Raw genomic sequence first — 21526 nt, forward strand, 5'->3', positions numbered from 1 at the left:
TTGCTTGAGTTGGAAACGTAGCACTTCACCTGCCACAGATCTTCTGTTCTGTTACCTGACTCATCCACCAAAGTGTCGACACGATTGGGAGGCTGCCTTGTAACAGTACAGAGTTAAAGTTAGCTCTGTTGACTTTGGCTCTGCAGACTAAGCCAGAGAGAAAAATAAAATCTCTTCCAAATTTTCCACACAAACGAAAAGCACAGGGCTTTGGAAATATGTGCAAAATGAGACATTACTTCTTGTTAGAAATGTAAAAGGATGGCTCAGAAGATAATGGAATAGTTGAAAAGAATGTGTTAAATATGGCCAGACCCTGCCATAGCATTAAGAGTGGAGGATCTAAAAAAAAAAAAAAAAAAAAGAGGCATTTGTATACAATGCAAGGTATCTTCATTGCTAAGCTAATGAAATCATGAAGATGCTCCATCCAGGGAGGGCAGAAACCAATCACATGAGACTCATTGCAGCCCCCCTGCTGTGTGCACACCAGTGAGCTGTTGTCTGTTTTGTTTTGTTTTTCAATATAATGTGGGTTCCCAACTTGCATTTCTAGTAATAATCACTGGGCATCATGTGTTCAGGGTTCATCTATGTTGTAGCATGTATCATATCAGTGATCCATCTGTACAGACGAGGAAGTTGAGGCTCAGATAATTTGTCTAAGGTCATTCAGGTCTTTCTGTGTGGGCTGAAGTAGAGGTGGATAACCTTCAGCTGCCTGAATAATAATACCAACTGTTAACTGTTAGCATGAACAACACTTAACACTTTACCTATACATTTTTTTCATTCAATTCCTTCAAAAACTCTTGTTAGTTCATGATCTATATTTTAGAAGGAGAACCTGGACTAGAAATTAAGAACTAGCCCAAGACTCTGTAACTGAGAAGTGGTAAAGCTGGGCGAGTCTGCATCCCAAGTCTCTCCATAAGAGAGTCCATTAGATTTCCCCGGAGCAGTTATTGTCATATACACACGCATGCAAGGACCAAGGAGCTCGGCCACATCCCGCAGGAGGTGCTTGGCAGGAGACACTCACTGGGAAGTACCAGGAGAAGTCACAGGGAGTGATGGGAATAAAAACCTGGGGGTGTTTTGAAACATCCCTGAGGACTTGGCGAGTATTTGATGTTAAAAAGCATTTCTTGCCTGCAAAACACGTGTCTCTAAGGAACTCTTACGTTGCCGACGTGTGCTGGCTAGGAGCTGGGCCCGGCGGGGGAGGCCCTCTCTCTCTCTGCCTCTGGCCCTGCCTCCATCAAGGCCTGGATTGGAGTTGTCTTTCCCAAGGCAGTAACTGTCAGAGGAACCATCTGGACTGGTTTCTTGTGACTGACTCTGAGGAACAGAAATCCCTCTGGGAGGAAATCACAGGCACAGCAGCAGCAGGGAGCGGCAACACTGGTGTTCACTGGCTGGGAGCTGGGGGAGGCACCGCTCAGAATGGCCCCACAGGAGCGTCAGGCCCAGGACAGACCGTTGTGAGAACGAGGAGGAGAACCTCCTCTCCTCCTCTGGGGAGTGCGTGTATGGTATTTGCGAAATAACAAAGGGAATAGATGGAGGGGGCGAAGAAGTGTCCAGAGCATTGTTAACTGATGGAGCCCCATCATCTGCACGATGGCTTTCTCAGTGGGCCCTGCCACGCTGCACTTTGCCCTCATTAGGCCAGCGTGCTTCCCTCCGGCTCCCATCGCTCATATCATGGGCCCATCCTAGCCTTGCCCTTTCTTCCTGTGCAGGCTCTGGGAATGCTGGAGGATTGCTTGAGCCTAGGAGTTTGAGATTGGCCTGGGCAACATAGCGAGACCCTGTCTCTACATGAAATCAAAAAATTAACTAGATGTGGTGGTGCATGCCTGTGGTCCCAGCTTTTCAGGAGGCTGAGGTGGAAGGATTGCTTGAGCCCAGAAGGTCGAGGCTGCAGTGAGCCATCATTGTGCCACTGCCACTGCACTCCAGCCTGGGTGACAGAGCAAGACCATGTCTCAAATAAATAAATAAATAAAAGGATCTCTTCTGTCTTCTGAGGTGACTCCTAGGATTCTAGAGCCAGAAGGAGCCTCAGAGCACATTTATTCCACTCCTGTCACTGGGGGCAAAAATGAGGCCAGTAGAGGTTAAATGACTCGCCCAGATTCACACAGTCATCACAGGAGCTTGGGCTGGCACCCAGGCCTCCTGCCTCCAGGCCTGTGTCCTCTTCTTGCATTAAGCCCAGAGCAGTTCATTAGGAAAACCGTATAGAGTCATGAGACCCTAAGTCTCATGATCAGAATTTCATCTTCTCTTCCCTTTTGGTTTTTTTTTTTTTTTTTTAACATAGAGAAGGTAAAGGGGGAAAATGATTTACTTAGTTTCCAGACCACTTATTTAAATCCTGCCCAATCTGACTTCCACTCCTCACTTCACTGTTGCAGCCAAAGCTAACTAATGCATCCGTGCTCCAGGGGAAGGAATCTCTTCCCATCCTCAGTCCAAAGTCAGAGTCCAAACTCTGAGGAGGGTAAAAGAAACACAGGAAATACAAGTCCCTCACCCCCACAGCCTCATTACACTCTCCAATAAGCCACAGGAGTAAAGGAGGAAGATGGGGCGGATGCGTAGGTATGGAGCGCCTACTCTGGGTGGCTGGCTCTGTATTAACACTCTACACGCCCCCTCATTCAGTCCTCACAAACCCTGGAAAGCAAGTTTTGTTCGCCTCACTCTGCAGATGGAGTTATTGAGGCGAGAAGGGTGATGTAAGCTGCCCAGAGTCGCACAGCTAGCAAAGGGCAGAGCAGGAATTAGAACCAAGTTTCTCTAGCTGCAAAGTCTGGTTCTCCACTCCACCATGCCCATTCACTTCTATATTTTCAGGAGAGGCCATGGAACCTGTCCTCACTTCCTCCTCCTCCTCCTGCCTTACTGTGCCTCTTGCCCGAGTCCAGCCCTACCCACTAAAGCATTGCACGTATTGACCCTCGCAGCCATGCACAGTGCCTCTGACGTGGGCAGCTCCAGACTGAGCTTCTGCATCAGACAAGCAGGAGACAGATGAGGAGTGAGCCGGGGAAACCCAGTGTTTGTTACTCTGAAAATGGAAGCTGCCCCGTGACAGCATCTTCTCTCCCGTTGAGTAATCCCTGCATGAATAGATGGCAGCTGCAGTGACTGCTGGTCATATGTGATCTATTCTGGGAGGTGTTGAGCGCACCATCCAAGAACATGAAGTCGCTGCTCTGTCACAGATGGAGAAGCAGACTATTGTGGATGTTGCAGGAGCTGGGATTTGGCTGGATCCCCTGGAAAGGTTTTATTTTGAGTGCAGAGCCTGTTTGGTTGCCAGGGTAAACCAAGTGGTTGTATGATAGAGGAATTCCAACCCTCGCTAACACTCTGACCCCTTGTGCCAGCTTTCCAATAAGGCTTGAGAGTTCTTTAGAAAATCTCCTTCTTGGCACACTTTGAACTGGAGAGCAGTGACACTCTTGGCAGTGCTTTTGGTACTTGTTAGTTGTATCACTTAAGTTGATCGGGAAAAGAAAATAATCACTGGGGAGGGACCCCTTTTAAACATTTATAGTTTTGAGAATGCTTCACTGATCCAGCCCTGACTATACTCAGCACCTATACATCCTTGTCTTTGGTCTAGGGGCTCTGGTAGGAGGCGGCATTGAAATATGCCATCCCCTCCCTGCTGTTGCATTCTGCCGTCCAGCCCAGCTCTCCCATTGGCCCACACGGGGCTGCCCCTCTGGCCCTGGCTCTCGGCTTCCACACAAGCAGCTACTCTTGTACAGGATGGTAAAGTTAGGTGGCATTCACACTGGAGCAGGGACCAGGATCCAAGTGAAAGTAAGTTTCAGGAAAAGCTTGAGTCATGTTTCCAGTTTCAAGAGCCAGGCTGAATCTCTCAGAAGGGGAGCTGACGGGCGGCAGTGGGAGAGTGGAAGAGGTGGGCCCTGGGCACAGCATGTACTATGGCATCGCTCATCACCTGCCAATGGCAGGGAGCGTGGGCTGTCTTATATTCTGTTTGCCCCTCTCAAGAGGTAAGCTCCTAGCAGGCAGGATAACCTGAAGCCCTCTGGTGGGCCCTGTAGTGCCGCACTGTACTAGACAAACAGCGCGTGTCAGTGTTCTCGGGGAGGTGGGAGAAATTATGCACTGAAGAGCAAATCTCGGGAGAACATGAGGTTCCACGTGGGGTGCGGTGTGGCTGACTTCATCGCCAAGCAAGTACCAGCCCCTCCTGCTGTCATGGGCGTACTAGGGAACAGTCCTTTGCTCAGCCGGCTCCTGGGTTTCTGCAGGACCTCAGCAGGCTGCTAACTCCCGGATGTGAGCTGGTTGAGGGCAGATACTGGGTCCCCTTCATGTGCTTCTCTGTGTCCAACTCAGTGACTGAAACATGCTGTTTGTTGAATAACTAAAGGAATCTATGAATAAACTGGTGACAATGGAAGCCCCAGAGGTTCAAACATTCTAAGATGCCTATACCAAAATCTTTAAAAAAAATCAAACTCTATCCAGTGACCAACTCATTTTAGCCAATACCCCAATGCAATGAAATTGTAGCACCAAAAAAATTTTTTTAGAATCTCTCTTCAAACTCCTTATAATGGGATTTGACCTCTCAGACTTAGTAATGGGCAATCTGGTTTACTTTGCCTATGAGTAGAAGCTGTGAAGTACATAAAAGAGAACTTTTGTTTGCCTCTAAAACTCCAGGTAGTCAGTGCAGCCTGTTCTGTCCTTCGGGGCAGGCTTCTTGTCCTGATGAGTGTGCCTGCGTGAGTTGGGGGAGGACAGTAGCAACCTCGTGGTGCCCACCCCGGCCCCCATGCTCTTACCCTTCCTTTCTTACCCTTGCAGCCATCCCATTTTCCCAGCCAGCTGTCTGGCTTCCCAGACCACCTTTTAATGCCCCTATAAGCAGGAAAGACATTAAATCGTCTGTGCCCCAGGCACAGCCCACCCCACTCACAGTCATTCTTCCTGTCCAGCTGTGCCCTCTGTTGGTGGAAGGGCAGAGCCAGAGAGGAGCATGGGCTCATTCCATCTCATTTTTTAACAGAACAGTTAAAAGAAATTACTCTTCTCCATAACTTGCAAACCTTGTCACTTCTTAGAGGACATTGGGATTAAAGGAAGAGGGTGACAGTTAATAGCTGGGCTCTGAAACCAGATTTCCTAGTTTTTATTATTTTAATTGAGGAAAAATTGACATAACATTAACCATTTTTTAAAGTGTACAATTCAGTGGTATTTAGTATGAGAACAGTGTTGTGCAACCATCACCTCTATCTAGTTGTAAAATATGTCATTACCCCAAAGGAAAACCATATCCCTATGAAGCAGTCTCCCCTATGACCCCTGGTAACCATCAGTCTGCCTTCTATCTCTATAGATTCCCCTTTTCTGGATATCTTCTGTAAATGGAATTGTACAATATGTGTTCTATTGCATCTGGCTTTCTTCACTTCTGTTCTTGAGGTTCATCCACATTCCATCTAGTATCCATCCATGTATCAGTACTTCATTCCTTTTTATGGCTAAATAATATTCCATTGTGTGGATATACCACATTTTGTTAATCCATCCAAAAAAAATTTTTTTTTCAGACTGAGTCTCACTCTATTGCCCAGGCTGGAGTGCAGTGGGGCGATCTCCACTCACTGCAACCTCCACCTCCCAGATTCAAGCCATTCTTGTGCCTCAGCCTCCCAAGTAGCTGGAATTACAGGCGCCCTCCACCACACCTGGCTAATTTTTGTATTTTTAGTAGAGACGGGGTTTCACCATGTTGGCCAGGCTGGTCTCAAACTCCTGACCTCAAGTGATCCACCCGTCTTGGCCTCCCAAAGTGCTGGGATTACAGGCATGAGCCACCGCGCCCGGCCAATCCATCCAGATATTAGTGGACATTTTCATCTTTTGGCAATTGTGAATAATACTGCTATGAACATTCTTGGACAGGTTTTTGTTTCAACACATGCTATCAATTCTCTAGGATATATTCCTAGGAGTAGAATTGCTGGATTATATGGTAATTCTGTGTTTAACTTTTTGAGGAACCACCATACTGTGGTTTGTACTATTTTACATTCCCACCAGATTGCTTAGTTTTGAATCCAGCCCTGCCACTTACTTGTTAGCTGTGTGAGCATAGGTAAGTTACTTATGGTCTTTGTGCCTCAGTTTCCTCATCTGTATAATGGGTCAGTAATGCTGTTTACTCAATGGGGTTATGATACTTAAAAGAGGTGGTGTATGTGAATGCCTCAGAACAGTAACGGGTGTACAAAACTGGTGCATAAATGTTTGCTGCTGCTGCGCTGTTACTGAGAGACAGTGTAGGTCATGGCAGATGGAAGACTGAAAAGGGTTTGGGCTAAAAGAGGCTGCATTGGGTGATATAAAAGAACCAGCAGAACTAGAATCCAGACACTTGGAGTTGGTTGCTGAGGGCATCTTTCACTTGAGGAATCAATTTTCTTATCTGTTCACTGATGAGCTCCAAGAACCTTCAGCTCCATGTGCCTGTGGCTTTCCTCGGGAGACCACTCTTCAAGAATGAGGGACCAGGGTCCTCCACTCCTGACCACTTGCCAGCTCCATTCTTTCAGCTCTCCAACATGAAAAAGGAAGACAGGAGTATGTCCTGTCATCTGAAAGCTACACACAGAAGTTTCTAGAAAATGAAGCCTTCTCTGTCATCATTCATGTTAGGAAAAGGCAAACCTGGTTGACTTTCACTTGATTCTATTGAATTCAACAGAATCACCAAACAAACATTCTGCTAAATAGTATTTCTCTCATATCTATATATTATGAGTATTTATCTCATAATCCATGTATTTATGAATCATTTACACCTAATTCATCAAAATGCTCTGTATAAGTTGTTTGAATCCCAAGAATCCTTATAGAGGCCTTTTTCTGAGCACATAGAAATAGGAAAACAGATTTTTCCCCATCCATCTTCAATTGGCAATAACTTTTAGAGGTGCCATATTACCAGCTCTTCTGCTAGGAGGGACCAGAGTGAAACAGTGAAAAAACACAATGTGATAATAATTGCCACAATGATACTTTCACCTCACACCCAATTAGCACTTTATAATTTGCAGAGTCCTGTCAATTTCTAAACAGGCCCTGATTTCTCCATATCTTCTCCAATACTTGTTATTTTCCTTTTGTTTTTAAAATGAGCATCCTAATGGGCCTGAAGTGGTATCTCATGGTGGTTTTGATTTGCATTTCCCTGATGGCTGAAGTTGAACATTTTTTCATGTGCTTGTTGGCCATTTGTTTATCTTTGCAGAAATGTCTATTCAGATCTTTGGTACATTTGTTTTACTATGTTGTTGGCTATTTTATCGTTGAGTTGTAAGAGTTCTTTGTATATTCTAGATACAAATCCCTTATCAGGTATATGACTTGCAAATATCTTCTCCCATTCTGTGTGTTCCTTTTTGACTTTCTTGATTGTATGCCTTGAATTAAAAAAAATGCCTAATTTTGATGAATTCCAAGTTTATCATTTTTTTTAATTTTTTCACCTGTGCTTTTGGTGTCATCTAAGGAGGTTTTGCCTATGCGGTCATGAATATTTACTCATCTGTTTTCTTCTAAGAGTGATAATAGTTTCAGCTCTTATATTGAGATATATGATATATTTTGAGTTAGTTTGTGTGTGTGTGGTGTGAGGTAGGGATTCAGCTTCATTCTTTTGCATGTGGATATCCAGTTGTCTCAGTATCAATTGTTGAAAAGACATTTCCCCCTTGGATAGTCTTGGTGCTCTTGTCAAAAACCAAATAACTGTAAATGGAGCAATTGTAGTTTGAATGGAATGGGTCAGCACTTGGTGGCAGCAGGGGTCTTGGCTATGTAGTTTCATAAGCTCCCACTCCTGGAGAGCCTCTGTTTTCCTCTCAAAGCCAGGTTTTTCTGTCTCGCTGCGTTTTGGTGCCTGAAAGGCTTGGGTGGGCATGGTACCTGGAGTACTGTTGTTCGGAGCACAAAGTGAGGAGAAAAGACCACTCTACTTTGTGGGAGGTCCTTGGGGCAGTTTGGGCAGCAGTGCCTCCCCCAGGAGTCAGGGTCCCCACCCCAGAGGAATGTCCACAGAGCAGAGCCATTGGCCTGAGCTGGACTGAAAAAGAAAGAGCCAGGTGGGGAGAGGATTTGATTTCTCCCTTGGTCTAAAGCAGGCAGCTGACATTGGGTGAGGGAATGGGGCAGGCCTCCATGTGCTATCGGGAATCCCCAGGAGGTCCCTACAGAAAACTTCCACCCCCAGCCCAGCTTGTTTATCACAGCCCTTCAGTGGTAACTTCCTCCTGTGGCTTGATCCAAACGGGGGCTGCATATGTGGCCAAAATGCACATAACCCTGTGAGGCACAGCATAGCAGCTTATCTTCCCTGAAAGTGGAAGGACAAAAGCAGGACAAAGATGACCAAGCCAGGGTGGGAGAGAGGGGAGGAGACACTGGAAGGGGAGGTGAAGGGGCAGACTAGGGAGGCCAGGACCAAGGCAGACTCTCATGCACCAGGCATATTCTGCCCAGCCAAGGGCTCTGGCATTCAGATGAGGGAGAGGGAGAGGAAAGAGGAGAGAATCCAGTGAGACCAATCCATGAAGTGTCGGGAGGACCCTGGAAGCAAAGGCTCTGGACTCAGGTGGCATCAATGGGACTACCAGTTTCCAGTGAATATGTGGGAGTGGCCTAGGTCCAGCTCAATCAGAAGCCCATTTGTTCAAGGCCCTGGTATTACTGAAGGCCCAGCCCTGTCTCACCTGCCAGAAAGCACGTGGCCTCTCCCTGGCTAGGCTAAGGGCTGGTTGACGGCATCATAAAAGGAATCTGCCTGGGAGCCCTCAATTTGTTTCAGTTTCCTCCCCCAAGGCCAAGAAGGGATTGGGTTGCCTCTGTTGTTGTTGCTGCTGCTGCTGCTGCTGCTGCTGCTGGGGGTTGGAAAAGAGGAATTTGTGTGACCAGATCCCCTTATTGTATAGAAGAAGAGAAATGTGAGCATTCAGAGATGGTGAGATGTCAGACACCCAGCCACACAGCCAGTGAGAGACATGTTGGGGACAGGGCCAGGCCTGCCAGTTCATGGCCCAGGGGTCTTTCTCATGAGATCAACTGACCAGTGTGTCTTAGCACCTGCCATGCAAATAGAAGGCCCTACTGCTGTCATCTCCACGTATTCCAGAATTACTCAGCTGTTCTATGCAAGCCAAGTCAACACCAATGTCATAAAGGAGAGACTAAAGTAATTCTCTACACAGCACATACACGGCATATATGGCCTGTATGCTTCCTGGACAGCCAACAGGGGTGCCGAGGGAGTGAGTCCCTCAGCCTTGCCTGGAGCCTTGCTGATACTTCAGTTTGCCTCACAAACACGGTTACCTTCCATGACATGAAGGAGGCACACGCGGGTTGACCCCTGACCCTGTCTGCTTGTTAGAATCACGTCGGGAACCGGGGACAGGCTTAGAAGCCCAGGTCCCACCTCCCACCTGCTGAATCCAAATCTCCAGAGCGTGGCCTGGGAAATCAAATTTGTCAGCTTCCTTCCCAGGGGACTTTGATACATCCACCCCAGTGGAAACCAGCAGCCTCCTTTAGTCAAGCGAATGTTTCCCTGACTGTCACCTTCTCCCCCTGTATAAGATGCAGATTGTTAGCGGTAAATGGTACCTGGATTCCAACCTCAGTTCTCCACTGCAGTTGGGGAGATCTGGCCAGGGCAAGCCACACTGCTCCTTCAGGCACAGCCTTGTTCATCCCGCACTCACCTGTGTTCTCTTCCTCTCTGTAGGACGCACAAGACCAGCCACTGCTACCGCATCACGTACCGCCACATGGAACGGACTCTGTCCCAGAGAGAGGTCAGGCACATCCACCAGGCCTTGCAGGAGGCTGCAGTCCAGCTGTTGGGTGTGGAGGGCAGGTTCTGATGTCACCACTTCACTCAGGCTGCAGCCCTCTTGGGGCTCCAGGATTTGCTGAAAGAGAAAAAGATATGGTTTGTGAACTGGGGCATCAATCATCTTTTGATAAATGGATCAGTTTTAGGACTTTCAGAAAATAAAAGATCGCTCTTGAAAAGCTGTTGACATAGCATTTGTCTTTTATTTGGGGAAAGGAGGAAGGTCTTTTCCTATTCCTTTTAGAAGTGCTTTGCCCACTGGCATTGGTGCTTAGTATGGTTAATTGGTCCCTGGGTTCCATTAAGCACCAGGCATGATTTCTTGCCTGACAGGCTCTTCCACTCAGGTAATGAGTGAAGCCACACAGAGGGACATCAGAAATTCCAGATACAATACAGGAAGCTTTTTGAATCAGCTTCCATTCCTTCCTCCCTTCTCTTCTTTTTCAGTTTTGCAAAGGGCAGGCTTCAAAGAGGGCACTAATGAAATGCCAGGGCTCTCGTCCAATGTGAAGGGAGGTGCGTCTTTCAGCCAGGGCAGGATATCTATTTGCTTTTCATAAACCCATGGCTTGGAGTCAGGCCTCTGGCCCCAGGACTTGGGCTTAGCTGCCTTCTGCCCCACTGGAGAGGAAGGAAAGGGGCGAGAGCTGCCCCAGAGTCTTGGAGGCACACAGAGGGGCCAGGTCCTCAAACTCCCTTCAAGTTTTCCCAGCAGGCAGCCTCCACTTCCAGAAGGCGACCTTTAGGGAAGAATATGGGGCTTTGATGTTCCCCCCTTTCCATCCCAGGCACTTTGTAGTCTGCCTGCCTCATTCATGACCAGTTTTAATAATCAGCTTCCATCCCTGGCATGATGCTAGAGGCTGATGGAGGGCTGCAAGTGCTGGGATAAATATTTGATGAGGAGTGGCCAGTATCAGCTAGCGGCGTGGGGGTGGGCAGCTGCTTTCCTAAGGGAAGGAACAGCTTTAATGTCATCTTACCATGTGATTAATTAGGACTCTTCCCTTGGATTTTTAAGGGAATTAAGGAAGCCATACCCCAAGTCCCACACCCAATCCTAGAACCAAACCGCTTTCTGGGGTCTTAGGGCCCACGGGTACAATTCCCCAAGTGGATGGATCTGAGTGGGAAGGCACAATGTGATCACTGATTTCCTCTTCAGTAGCATTTGCCAGCAGGCCATTTCTGATTCAGCCTTGGGCTGCACTTCAAGATGTCCCTTTATCCCCCTGACTGGTTAGGCACTTATTAATGTTCTTTAAGAAAGCCAGCAAGGTGTATAAAATGCAAAACCATGATGCTGTCCTGTGGCCCAGAATCTGAGCAATATTTGTCAAATACAGTCACGCGTCACTTAAGGACAGCGAAACATTCTGAGAAATGCATCATAGGGGATTTTGTCATTGTGTAAACACCATGGAGTGTACTCATACAAACCTAAACAGTATAGCATACTACACCCCTAGGCTACACGGCGTAGCCTATTGCTAGAGGCTGCAGGCGAGAGGCTACAGACCTGCACAGCATGTGGTATGGTTTGAATCCGTGTCCCCACCCAAATCTCATGATTAAATGTAAGCCCCAGTGTTGGACGAGGGGCCTAGTGGGAGGTGATTAGATCATGGAGATCAGCTTCTCATGCATGGTTTAGCACCATACGCTCAGTGCTGTTCCATGATAGTGAGTTCTCATGAGATCAGGTTGCTTAAAAATGTATAGTCCCTCCCTCCCCGCCACCCTCTTGGTCCTGCTCCTGCCATGTGAGACGCCTGCCTCCGCTTTGCCTTCCGCCATGAGGAAAGGCTCCCTGAGGCCTCCCCAGAAGCAGAAGCTGCCGTGCTTCCTGTACAGCCTGCGGAACTGTGAGCCAGTTAAACCTCTTTTCTCTATAAATTGCCCAGTCTCATGTATTTCTTTATAGCAATGCAAGAACAGAGTAACACAGCATGTCACTGTGCTGAATACTATAGGCACTTGTAGCAAATGTTATTTGTGTCTCTAAACTGAAAAGTTATAGCAAAAATACTGTATTATCACTGTCCCCTATGCCATCTGTTGTTGACTGAAACATTGTTATGTGACGCTGTATTTGTGCCAAACCCTATATTAAGGTCCTGGGGTAGGGCTGACTTTCCAAAGGGTTCACAGAGGCCTTTCTTGAACATTCCCCTCAACACTCCATGAGGTGTAATTGACTGTTACTTAAATCTTACAAGTGAGGGAACAGAGGACTGAAGAAGTCACAGGAGTTGGCCATGACTTAAGCTATGACTTCTTCAGGCCTCTGTTCCCTTGTCTGTGACTCAAGATACATACACAGGAGGTGGCAGGCCTCACACTCAAGTCCACGGCCTCCACATTAAGAATGTCTGTCTGCAGCCTGGGCAACATAGTGAGACCCTACCTTTACAAAAAATTTTAAAAACCAGCTGGACATGGTGGCATGCCCCTGTAGTCCCAGCTACTTGGGAGGCCAATGTGGGAGGATTGATTGAGCCCAGGAGGCTGCAGTGAGCCATGATCGTGCCACTGCACTCCAGCCTGAGCAACAAAGCAAGACCCTGTCTAAAAAAAAAAAAAAAAAAAAAAAAATGTGTAAACAGTAGTGGGTTGACTGTAAGGTCTGTGCCTCTCTCCTGCTCCCTAGACCTTCGTTCTGTTTCTACGAGGGCTTGTGCAGAACCCCCTCAGGGTCCACTCTGACCGACCAGCACTTGTGCCAAAAGTGAGCCTTCCCTACCACCAAAGAGCCAAGGGGACATCCAGCTCTTGACTTTTTCATGTGACTTCTACAGGAGAATAAATAATGAACGAGGAAAAGAAAGGTAAATTAATCCATTAGATGAAGTCACTTTGCAGTTCAAGAAACACATGATTCCCAAAGGAAGGACAGCCTGGTGACCAATACCAGCACTATGGCTATGACCCTCCAGGAGGCCCAGTTTCCTCCTTTGTCAAATGGGGATGATAATATCGCCCACTGCAGAGGCTGTGGTGAGGGCTGTGTAAGACATCGCATACTGCACTTGCCGCAGAACCCAGCACCTGATAAGCCATCAAGAAGGGTCACTGCTCTGATCATTATTCAGGGAGAAAACAATGGAAGTGTGAACCATCCAAACTGGAACAGATCCCACAGGGCATCCACATGTCCCCCCGGTCTATACCCGAGGACACTGAAGTACAAAGAGACAAGTGACTTACCCAAGGGCACAGTAACAGTGAAGTATTGTAGAGCTGGGCCTCAAACTGGGGTTCCCAGAGCATTTTTCCAAACACCACATTGAAGCAGAGATCCTGAGGTGTCTTTAGGTGGAAGGCCACCACGGGGGTCAGGACAGGTCGGGCCAGGGCTGCAGCACCTCGGGAAATGCTGGAGAGGCCTTCCTAAAGGGCCCTTGGGCTTGACTCTTACAATTCCATGGTCTTTTGGAGAAGTTTCCCTGCAGCCCTGTTGTCTGGTGCTTTGAGACATGTTGATGTGAGAAGACAACCTTACGTAGAGAGTTTCCCTCCTTGTAAGGATGGTCTAGAAGCCCATATCCTGGAGCTGTGGATCAAGGATCCTTCTAGCACATGTGTTACCTGTCCCTATGATAGGCCTCTACAGACGCCAGCAAGACTGGGGCCAGCAGGCATTAGCAATTGGGAATGTCGTGGGAATAAATTATGTGACCATCTGGAGCCTCGGGTGGAGCAGAGGGCCTTGCGGGCTCAACAGCCATTTGTGTCTTTGTCCCCTCCCCAGGTTGCTCTGCTCCTGGCTTTGCCCAGGTCCTGAACAAGTCAGCAAAGCTGAACAGGGTCTTGATGCTCCCAGCGGTGGCTGGTGGTCAGGCAGCCAAGAAATGGGAAAGGAAGCCCCTCAACACTGGAAGTTCAATTTTTTTCCTATCTAGGAAACAACAAGTGAGTGAACTCTGTGTGGTGGCCTCCGAATGCCCCCCCAGCCGGCCCTGCTTACCAGACTCCCCACTAGGCACATGTGTGTCTTTGGTTCTCACGCCAGGAGCTCTCCATGCTACCCACTGGCCATGATGACTTGAGGAGCACTTAGCAGCTCCTGGCCTGGGCTGTCTGCGCTCTTCCAATCTGCAGGAAGGTGGGGCACTGCCATCACTAGTAACAGGGATGTGGGGGGCGGTGGCAGCTGACGTTTGTAGTGTGCAGGTGCAGCACCCCGCAGTCTCAGTCCCATAGAGAGTGGAGCTGCTGTCTTATGTGGGAGAGATAGAGCCATGAGCAGGGCAGACAAGGCCCAGCCCTCGTGGAGTCCACGCTCATGGTCTCATTCCACCGCCTCCAGCAGGCCCCATGCTTCCCATTCTCCAAGTGAAAGGTTAACGTGTTCCAGGAGCCATTGCAAAGTCAAAACTTAAGGCCTCCTCACATCCAAGTCTGTGCTCGTCACCTTGCCCCCGACTCCCCCTGCGCACTTGCCCAGGCACACCTATGGCCGGAGCTAGGAATTCACTCTGGACCAGGGCAAAGGCAGGTGGGCCACCACCATGGTGGTGACATCCACTGCATGGAGCTTCAACTTTCAAGGCAACAGTGGTAGCCACAAACAAACCATGGGACCCTTTCATAAGGTGCTTGGTCATGGAACGTGGGCCCTTGGGATCAGCTATGGGCTCTAGGTCAAAACGGTTAGAAGCCCCACTTTATCCTCAGATGCTCAAAGTTGTCAATAGCTTTACACTTGCAACCGCAGTGGCTTCAGGATGCCAAATCAGATGTCCTGAGGAATAGAGGAAACTCTGAACTGAGCAATCTTAGGATCCTTCAAGGATGATGGTGTCCCCAGGAGGGTGTATCCTAGCGCCCAGGAAGTGGGCCAGCGAGAGGGAGGGAATGTGCTTATTCCTGATCTCAGCAATCACTCCAAAGTATGCTGACTCTGAGTTTTCTAAGTGGCTTCTGTACCCAAAAATGCATCATTGCTTAGAAAGTCAAAAAAGCAAACAAACGAACGAACAAAAAAACACAGCCAGTGCCCTATTCAAAGGCGGGGGCCACAGGTGATGCCAGCAATGTGGATGAGACCATCCTGCCCTGGTTCTTTCTCTAGCCCATTTCCAAGCTCATGGGCTTTGCTCAGGAGGAGAGTGGAGCAGGAACGCTCCTCGGAGCCCTGGACCAAGCCCAAGACCACGCTGGGGGTCTAAACCCAGCTCTGCCATAGATGAGTCATTAACATCCCTGAGCCTGCATTTCCTCAACCCTAAAACGGAGGTTATAATCTCTGGCCCTAGTATGAATGGCTCAGCAAGGAGTAGGGAAATCGTGTGTGTAAAACTTGATGCATCTCATTTTAGGCTCACAAAAACTCCACAAAAGGTAGCCAGCATATGTCTACTTGGGAATTGAGAACATGAGGCCCGAGGACCAGGCCTGAGTCCTCAGTGGGTTTTCAAGATAGAATTTAAGGCCCCTTCTCCATGAGACTAAAGGCCACAGCCTTCCTTCTGTGCCATATGTCTGCCAAGCATGGAAAACAGATGGGAACGCGATGAATACGAGCAGTGCATTGCCCTCCACGGCCTTCCCTCCCCAAGTGAAGTGTGTCTTTGTCTATTCTGGATCTAAGCCTTAGGAAGGACATAGCACGCTCTCACATGCAAAACAACAGAGAGAATGTTGAGTTCAACATGAGAAATCAAGGTGGGCTCTTGGAACTGGTTACACAAGGTTGCATCTGAAAAGGAAATCAGTGTGTTACGCTTTCCAGAGCAACACTTCCCGGCCCGTGGTTCCTGCAGCACCCTCAGCTGTTAGAAGCTCACATGCAGGACACAGGTGCATCCACGGCTGTTTGCAGAGTACAACTTGCCCCTGCTCTCCCTATCAAAAAAGGACGTCACAATGCACACGTATGAGCTTGACATTAGTATAAAGGAAACTTTGACATCTATTTTTAAACAGCTGCTAATGTATCAAGAGTGAATCATTTGATGCCATCTATACTTTATTATTAAGAAATAACTAGGATGCCAAAGCAGTCCTATAGAGAAAGGAAGGCATTTTCAACAAATGGTGGTGGAGCAACGGGTTATTCATATAAGGAAAGAAAGAAAAATCTCGACACCCTACTTCACACAAAATTAATTCGAGTTGGCACACAGACCTAAATACAAAAGCCAAAAACTTACTACCTAATAGCTTAACGAAAAAGACATATGGGACCATCTTTTTGACCTTGGATAGGCAAAGATATTTTAGAAAGGACACAGAAAACATTAGTAAAGAAAAAGATGATACACTGAACTTTTTCAATATTTAAAACTTCTGCTTTTTGAAATATGTTATTGAGAAAATGAACAGGGAAACCACAGATTGGGAAAAAATATTTGTAACACATATATTTGACTTATATCCGGAATATACAAAGAATTCCCACAACTTGATAATAATGTTTTTTAAAACCATTTTGAAAAAATGGGCAGACTTGAAAAAATACTTCACAAAAAGATTATAGATGACCAGTAAGATGAAAAGATACTCAACATTATTTGTGAGCAGGGAAATGCATTTATGAAGTTACAGAAGAGATAAACCTAATCTCCAGTGACAGAAACAGATCAGAGGTCGTCTGGGGCTGGAAAGGGATTTACTGTAAAGGGGAACGAGGGAAATTTTCAGGTGATGGGAAATGTTCTCTATCTTTTTTTTTTTTTTTTTTTTTTTTTTTGGTGAGGCTGCCCAGATTCCCAAATAGCAATTCTCTCTATCTCTCTCTCTCTCTCTCTCTCTCTCTCTCTCTCTCTCTCTCTTTTTTTTTTTTTTTCCTCTAAGAAACAGGGTCTTACTATGTTGCTCAGGCTGGTCTCAAACTCCTGGCTTCCAGCAATTCTCCCTCAGCCTCCCAAAGTGTTAGGATTACAGGCATGAGCTACCACACCTGACCAGAAATGTTCTTGTCTTCATAGGAGCGTGGGTTACACAGATGAATGCATTTGTCCAAACTCATCAAACTCTAGACTTTAAGATCTATGCCTTTCACCATATGCAAATTATACCACAATAGAAGAAGAAAATGACTTGCCACATCTCACAACCAAATGAGCAGCGCAGCTCCTAAGTGGAGATGGCAGCTCAGGGCCGAGGGAGCAAATTTTCCAGAAGAGATGGACAGAGAAGTGGGTCTGAAAGGGCTCTGGGGACAGGGTCAGCCTTGAGTTGACGGAACACCTGGGGCATGGAGCTCTCTCCAGGCGAGTGACAGCTACATGGATGAAGCTGAAGGGTGGAGCTGGAGGTGTCTAGGGTGCAAGCCAGGCCTGCAAAGGTCAAAGGGAGAGAAACAATGAGGCCATGTGGCCCCAACTGTTGGTGGTTTCCTCGGAGCGTCAGAGGCTGCTGACATTGCCCAGCTGGGCAGCATCCTGGGAACAGAGAGGGTGGACTCAACAGCACAGAGAGGCAAGGGAAAGGGTGAGACCCCAGTGCTGAGGGTCGAGCCTCTGGTTTATCCACACTGCTTCTTCCCAAAGTCCCTTGAGCTAGAGCAGCGGGATGGGCATGAGTACTTCCTGAGTCTGTCTCCCACCCAGTGACCACACAGCAAAGCCAGGGCAGCTGCGCATGGCTTCCTGGTAGAAAGCCCCTCTCCCACCCATGGAAGTCAGACTCCATGAGCCTCTCCCCACTGCTCTCAGGCCGCCAGCCCCACCGTCTGCCTTGTTCCACTCAGATGGGGTGAGACCAGCACCCGCCCTTGAACCAGGGCCTGACTCCACCCCACATGCCCCTCATCCCCTGGGTAACACATCTAACCTGCCACCTGGGAGGAACCGGAAGCCCTGCTGAAGGTTAGATGCCTCGGGCATCAGGCATGAACTGTGGCTCTGCCACTGACCAGCTGGGAGAACTTGAGCAGTTCCCAGAGCTCTGTGACTTGGTTTCCCCACTTGGAAAATGAGGGTACTAATCATACTCATGGGATTGTAGTGAGGCTAAAATGAGCTAAGGCATTAAATAAATTATATAAAATAAGCTCCTAGTTTCTAACAGTACAATGTTACAAGTGAATTAGCATTTTTCTTTTTTTTCTTTTTTTTTCTTTTTTATTATGCTTTAAGTTCTAGGGTACATGTGCACAACTTGCAGGTTTGTTACATAGGTATACGTGTGCCGTGTTGGTTTGCTGCACCCATTAACTCGTCATTTACATTAGGTATTTCTCCTAATGCTATCTGTCCCCCAGCCCCCCACCCCACGACAGGCCCCGGTATGTGATATTCCCCACTCTATGTCCAAGTGTTCTTATTGTTCAATTCCCACCTATGAGTGAGAACATGCGGTGTTTGGTTTTCTGTCCTTGCGATAGTTTGCTCAGAATGATGGTTTCCAGCTTCATCCATGTCGCTTCAAAGGACATGAACTCATCCTTTTTTTATGGCTGCATAGTATTCCATAGTGTGTATATGTGCCACATTTTCTTAATCCAGTCTATCACTGATGGACATTTGGGTTGGTTCCAAGTCTTTGCTATTGTGAATAGTGCCACAATAAACATACATGTGCATGTGTCTTTATAGTAGCTTGATTTGTAATCCTTTGGGTATATACCCAGTAATGAGATCACTGGATCAAATGGTATTTCTAGTTCTAGATCCTTGAGGAATTGCCACACTGACTTCCACAATGGTTGAACTAGTTTACAGTCCCACCAACAGTGTAAAAGCATTCCTGTTTCTCCACATCCTCTCCAGCACCTGTTGTTTCCTGACTTTTTAATGATCGCCATTCTAACTGGTGTGAGATGGTATCTCACTGTGGTTTTGATGTGCATTTCTCTGATGGCCAGTGATGATGAGCATTTTTTCATGTGTCTGTTGGCCGCATAGATGTCTTCTTTTGAAAAGTGTCTGTTCATATTCGTTGCCTACTTTTTGATGGGGTTGTTTGATTTTTTCTTGTAAATTTGTTTAAGTTCTTTGTAGATTCTGGATATTAGCCGTTTGTCAGATGGGTAGATTGCAAACATTTTCTCCCATTCTGTAGGTTGCCTGTTCACTCTGATGGTAGTTTCTTTTGCTGTGCAGAAGCTCTTTAGTTTAACTAGATCCCATTTGTCTATTTTGGCTTTTGTTGCCATTGCTTTTGGTGTTTTAGCCATGAAGTCCTTACCCATGCCTATGTCCTGAATGGTAATGCCTAGGTTTTCTTCTAGGGTTTTTATGGTTTTAGGTCTAACATGTAAGTCTTTAATCCATAAGTATCCCGGAATTAGACAGTGGTGATGGTTGCCCAACTCTGTGAATCTACTAAATGCCACTGAATCATACACTTTAGAAAGGGGTGAATATTATGGTAGATGAATTATACGTAATAAAAAGTTATTTTAAAAAGTTAAGCATGTATTTACCATATGACCCAGAAAAATCCCATTTCTAAAGTATTTCCCAAGAGAAATAAAAGCATGGGAGTTGATTGAATTGGGACAAAGGTGGAAGCAGGCGGAAGTGGTGGGCCTCCCCTGAGGCCCTCCTGGCAGCTCGGCCTGTCCTCCACTCTTTGCTAGGGATTTGGCTACGGGTAATTCAGATGGCAGCTCCCAGCCTGGGGCCTTGGAGCAGGTTTGACTATGCACTTGTAATAGGGATGCCGTTTTCTGTTGACTGTTAAACTGGAGCATTCTGCTTGCTTCCTTTCTTCTAGCACTTGAACCTTGCAGCCCTCCACCTCTCCTCTGGGGCAGGAGGGGCCTGACTCCTTGGGAAGGCTTTGTGGTCTAGCTCCTTCTCCCTATTTAAGTTTGGTTCACTGACCAGCGGCCTGAGCATCACTTGGGCGCTTAATAGAAACGCAGAGTCTTTGGCCCCCCCTCCTCCGCCAGACCAGCTGAGTCTGAATCTGCCTTTAACAAGGCCCCAGGCAACCCACGCGCTCAGGGGAGCTGGAGCAGTGTGTTCTTTTCAGAGCATGCAAGTTGAGCTGCTCACCATTAAGGCTTAACCAGTAGACTACACAAGGAATGAGGAAGGAAATTTCACCCTCATATCCTTGAGAGCCCCGGTTATGGGTTGAATTGTGTGTCTCCCAAAAGACAAAGGTTGAAGTCCTGACCCCTAGCACCTCAGAGTGTGACTGTGTTTGGAGGTAGGGTCTTTGCAGATGTCATTAGTGAAGGTGAGGTCATACTGGAGTAGGCTGGGCCCTGATCCAATGTGACTGGTGTCCTCATTAGAAGATGATCACATGAAGACAGAGACACCCGGAGAACGCCATGTGACAGCAGAGGCAGAGATTGGAGTGGAGCATCTATAAGCCCAGGAACGTAAATATTGCCTGCAAACTCCCAGAAGCTGGAAGAAACAAGGAAGGCTCCTGCCCTACAGGTTTCAGAGGGAAACGTGGTCCCGCTGACACCTTGATTTCAGACTTCGGGCCTCCAGAACTGTGAGACCAGACATTGCTATGGTTTTAAGCCACATGGCTCGAGGTGCTTTGTTATGGCAGCTCTAGGAATCTAATACAGTGCCCAAGACAGAGGGACCATGCTGTCCTCCCAGATGACTCCCCCTGTGCCTACCTGTGACAGTGACCATAGCTAGTAAACCAGGGGCTCACAATGTCTTTAGGCTGAAGGGGGCCTTCAAGTTGAGTGTCCCCAGGACATGCTTAGCCTTCATGTGACCCGGATGCCCCCGAGTGTTCTGGCAGCCCTGGAGAGGCACACTGTCGGGCAGCTGAGCCGAGAGCCTGTGAGCTGGCCTATAATCCACGGCTGAGACTCAGAGGGGTGTCCCAGCCTGCCGGCTCCCCATTCAGGCCAAGTCAGCTGAGGAGGGCCTGTCCACGCGCAGAGGGTCCAGACCACATGCTCTGCCAGCCCATGACCTCGGCACTGGAGGGCACAAGAGACAGAAGGGCAGTGACAGCTGGGACGAGAGGAAGAGCGGATCTCAGATGCTCCCAGGCTCTCGGCGCTCGCGGGTAGGAAGGTCTTCTGGATTCCCTAAGAATGTGCTACTCAGTGGGGGGGAGGAGGAGCAAGGAAGTGGCCACCGTTGGCTGCCTGTGCCCAGCAGGTCCACATTCCCTGCTCTGATGAGGTGGCTGCATGTGAGGGGATTTCACGGTGCCCCTTAGCCAGTCACAGGTCATTGGGACCCAGGCAAAGGAAATCCTGAGGGTCCAAGGGAAGCCTGGATAAGAGAAACATCTTCAATGCCTTCCTCTCTCATTTCCCCACCCTGCAAAGCACTGGCATTGGGCAGTGCAAGGGAACTTCCTCCTTCCCTCTCTCCCTTCCTTCCTCTTTTCTTTCCTCTCACTCCTTTCCTCCCCCACTCCCTCCCCTGTGCACCTGTCTCCTGCCCAGCACACCTGGAGAAGGCTGCTCTGGGATTAATTCAGACTTAGATGATGGGAGTGAAGCCGCACCCCCGTCAGAGGGAAGCACTTTGGACCCAGCCACCTGTTTCCCCCGTTTGATGAGGGAAACCATGCCTGGCAAAGCACCGCTCCCCAGCCAGGGCAGCAGGCCAACCTGCTGTCACTGCGCCTTAATCACCCCCACGCCCAGGCGGCACCGTCGGCAGGGCCTTTTAATAGCAATAGCACAGGGACAACCAG

The 21526-nt window shown here is 47.9% G+C and overlaps 1 protein-coding gene across 12 annotated transcripts in view, besides 2 other annotated features; it reads left to right on the top strand.

Annotated features, from left to right (window-relative positions):
- The window catches only part of FARS2 (phenylalanyl-tRNA synthetase 2, mitochondrial), a 521650-nt gene extending 511531 nt beyond the window's left edge, over nt 1-10119 (top strand). For all 12 annotated transcript variants that reach the window (XM_047418086.1, NM_001374878.1, NM_001318872.2 and 9 more), the window contains one exon: nt 9827-10119. In XM_047418086.1, coding sequence (XP_047274042.1) covers nt 9827-9965 — 139 coding nt within the window. In that variant the 3' untranslated portion in view covers nt 9966-10119. The remainder of the gene's footprint in view (nt 1-9826) is intronic.
- Nucleotides 2931-3120: an enhancer, noted in NCBI's record as "active region_23913". NCBI's record gives its function as "activates an Ori minimal core promoter by ATAC-STARR-seq in GM12878 lymphoblastoid cells {active_cell/tissue: GM12878}" and the evidence as "EXISTENCE:reporter gene assay evidence [ECO:0000049][PMID:35858748]".
- Nucleotides 17054-17243: an enhancer, noted in NCBI's record as "active region_23914". NCBI's record gives its function as "activates an Ori minimal core promoter by ATAC-STARR-seq in GM12878 lymphoblastoid cells {active_cell/tissue: GM12878}" and the evidence as "EXISTENCE:reporter gene assay evidence [ECO:0000049][PMID:35858748]".

Source organism: Homo sapiens, chromosome 6 (genome assembly GCF_000001405.40).
Source record: "Homo sapiens chromosome 6, GRCh38.p14 Primary Assembly".
In the NCBI taxonomy this organism is placed as follows: Eukaryota; Metazoa; Chordata; class Mammalia; order Primates; family Hominidae; genus Homo; species Homo sapiens.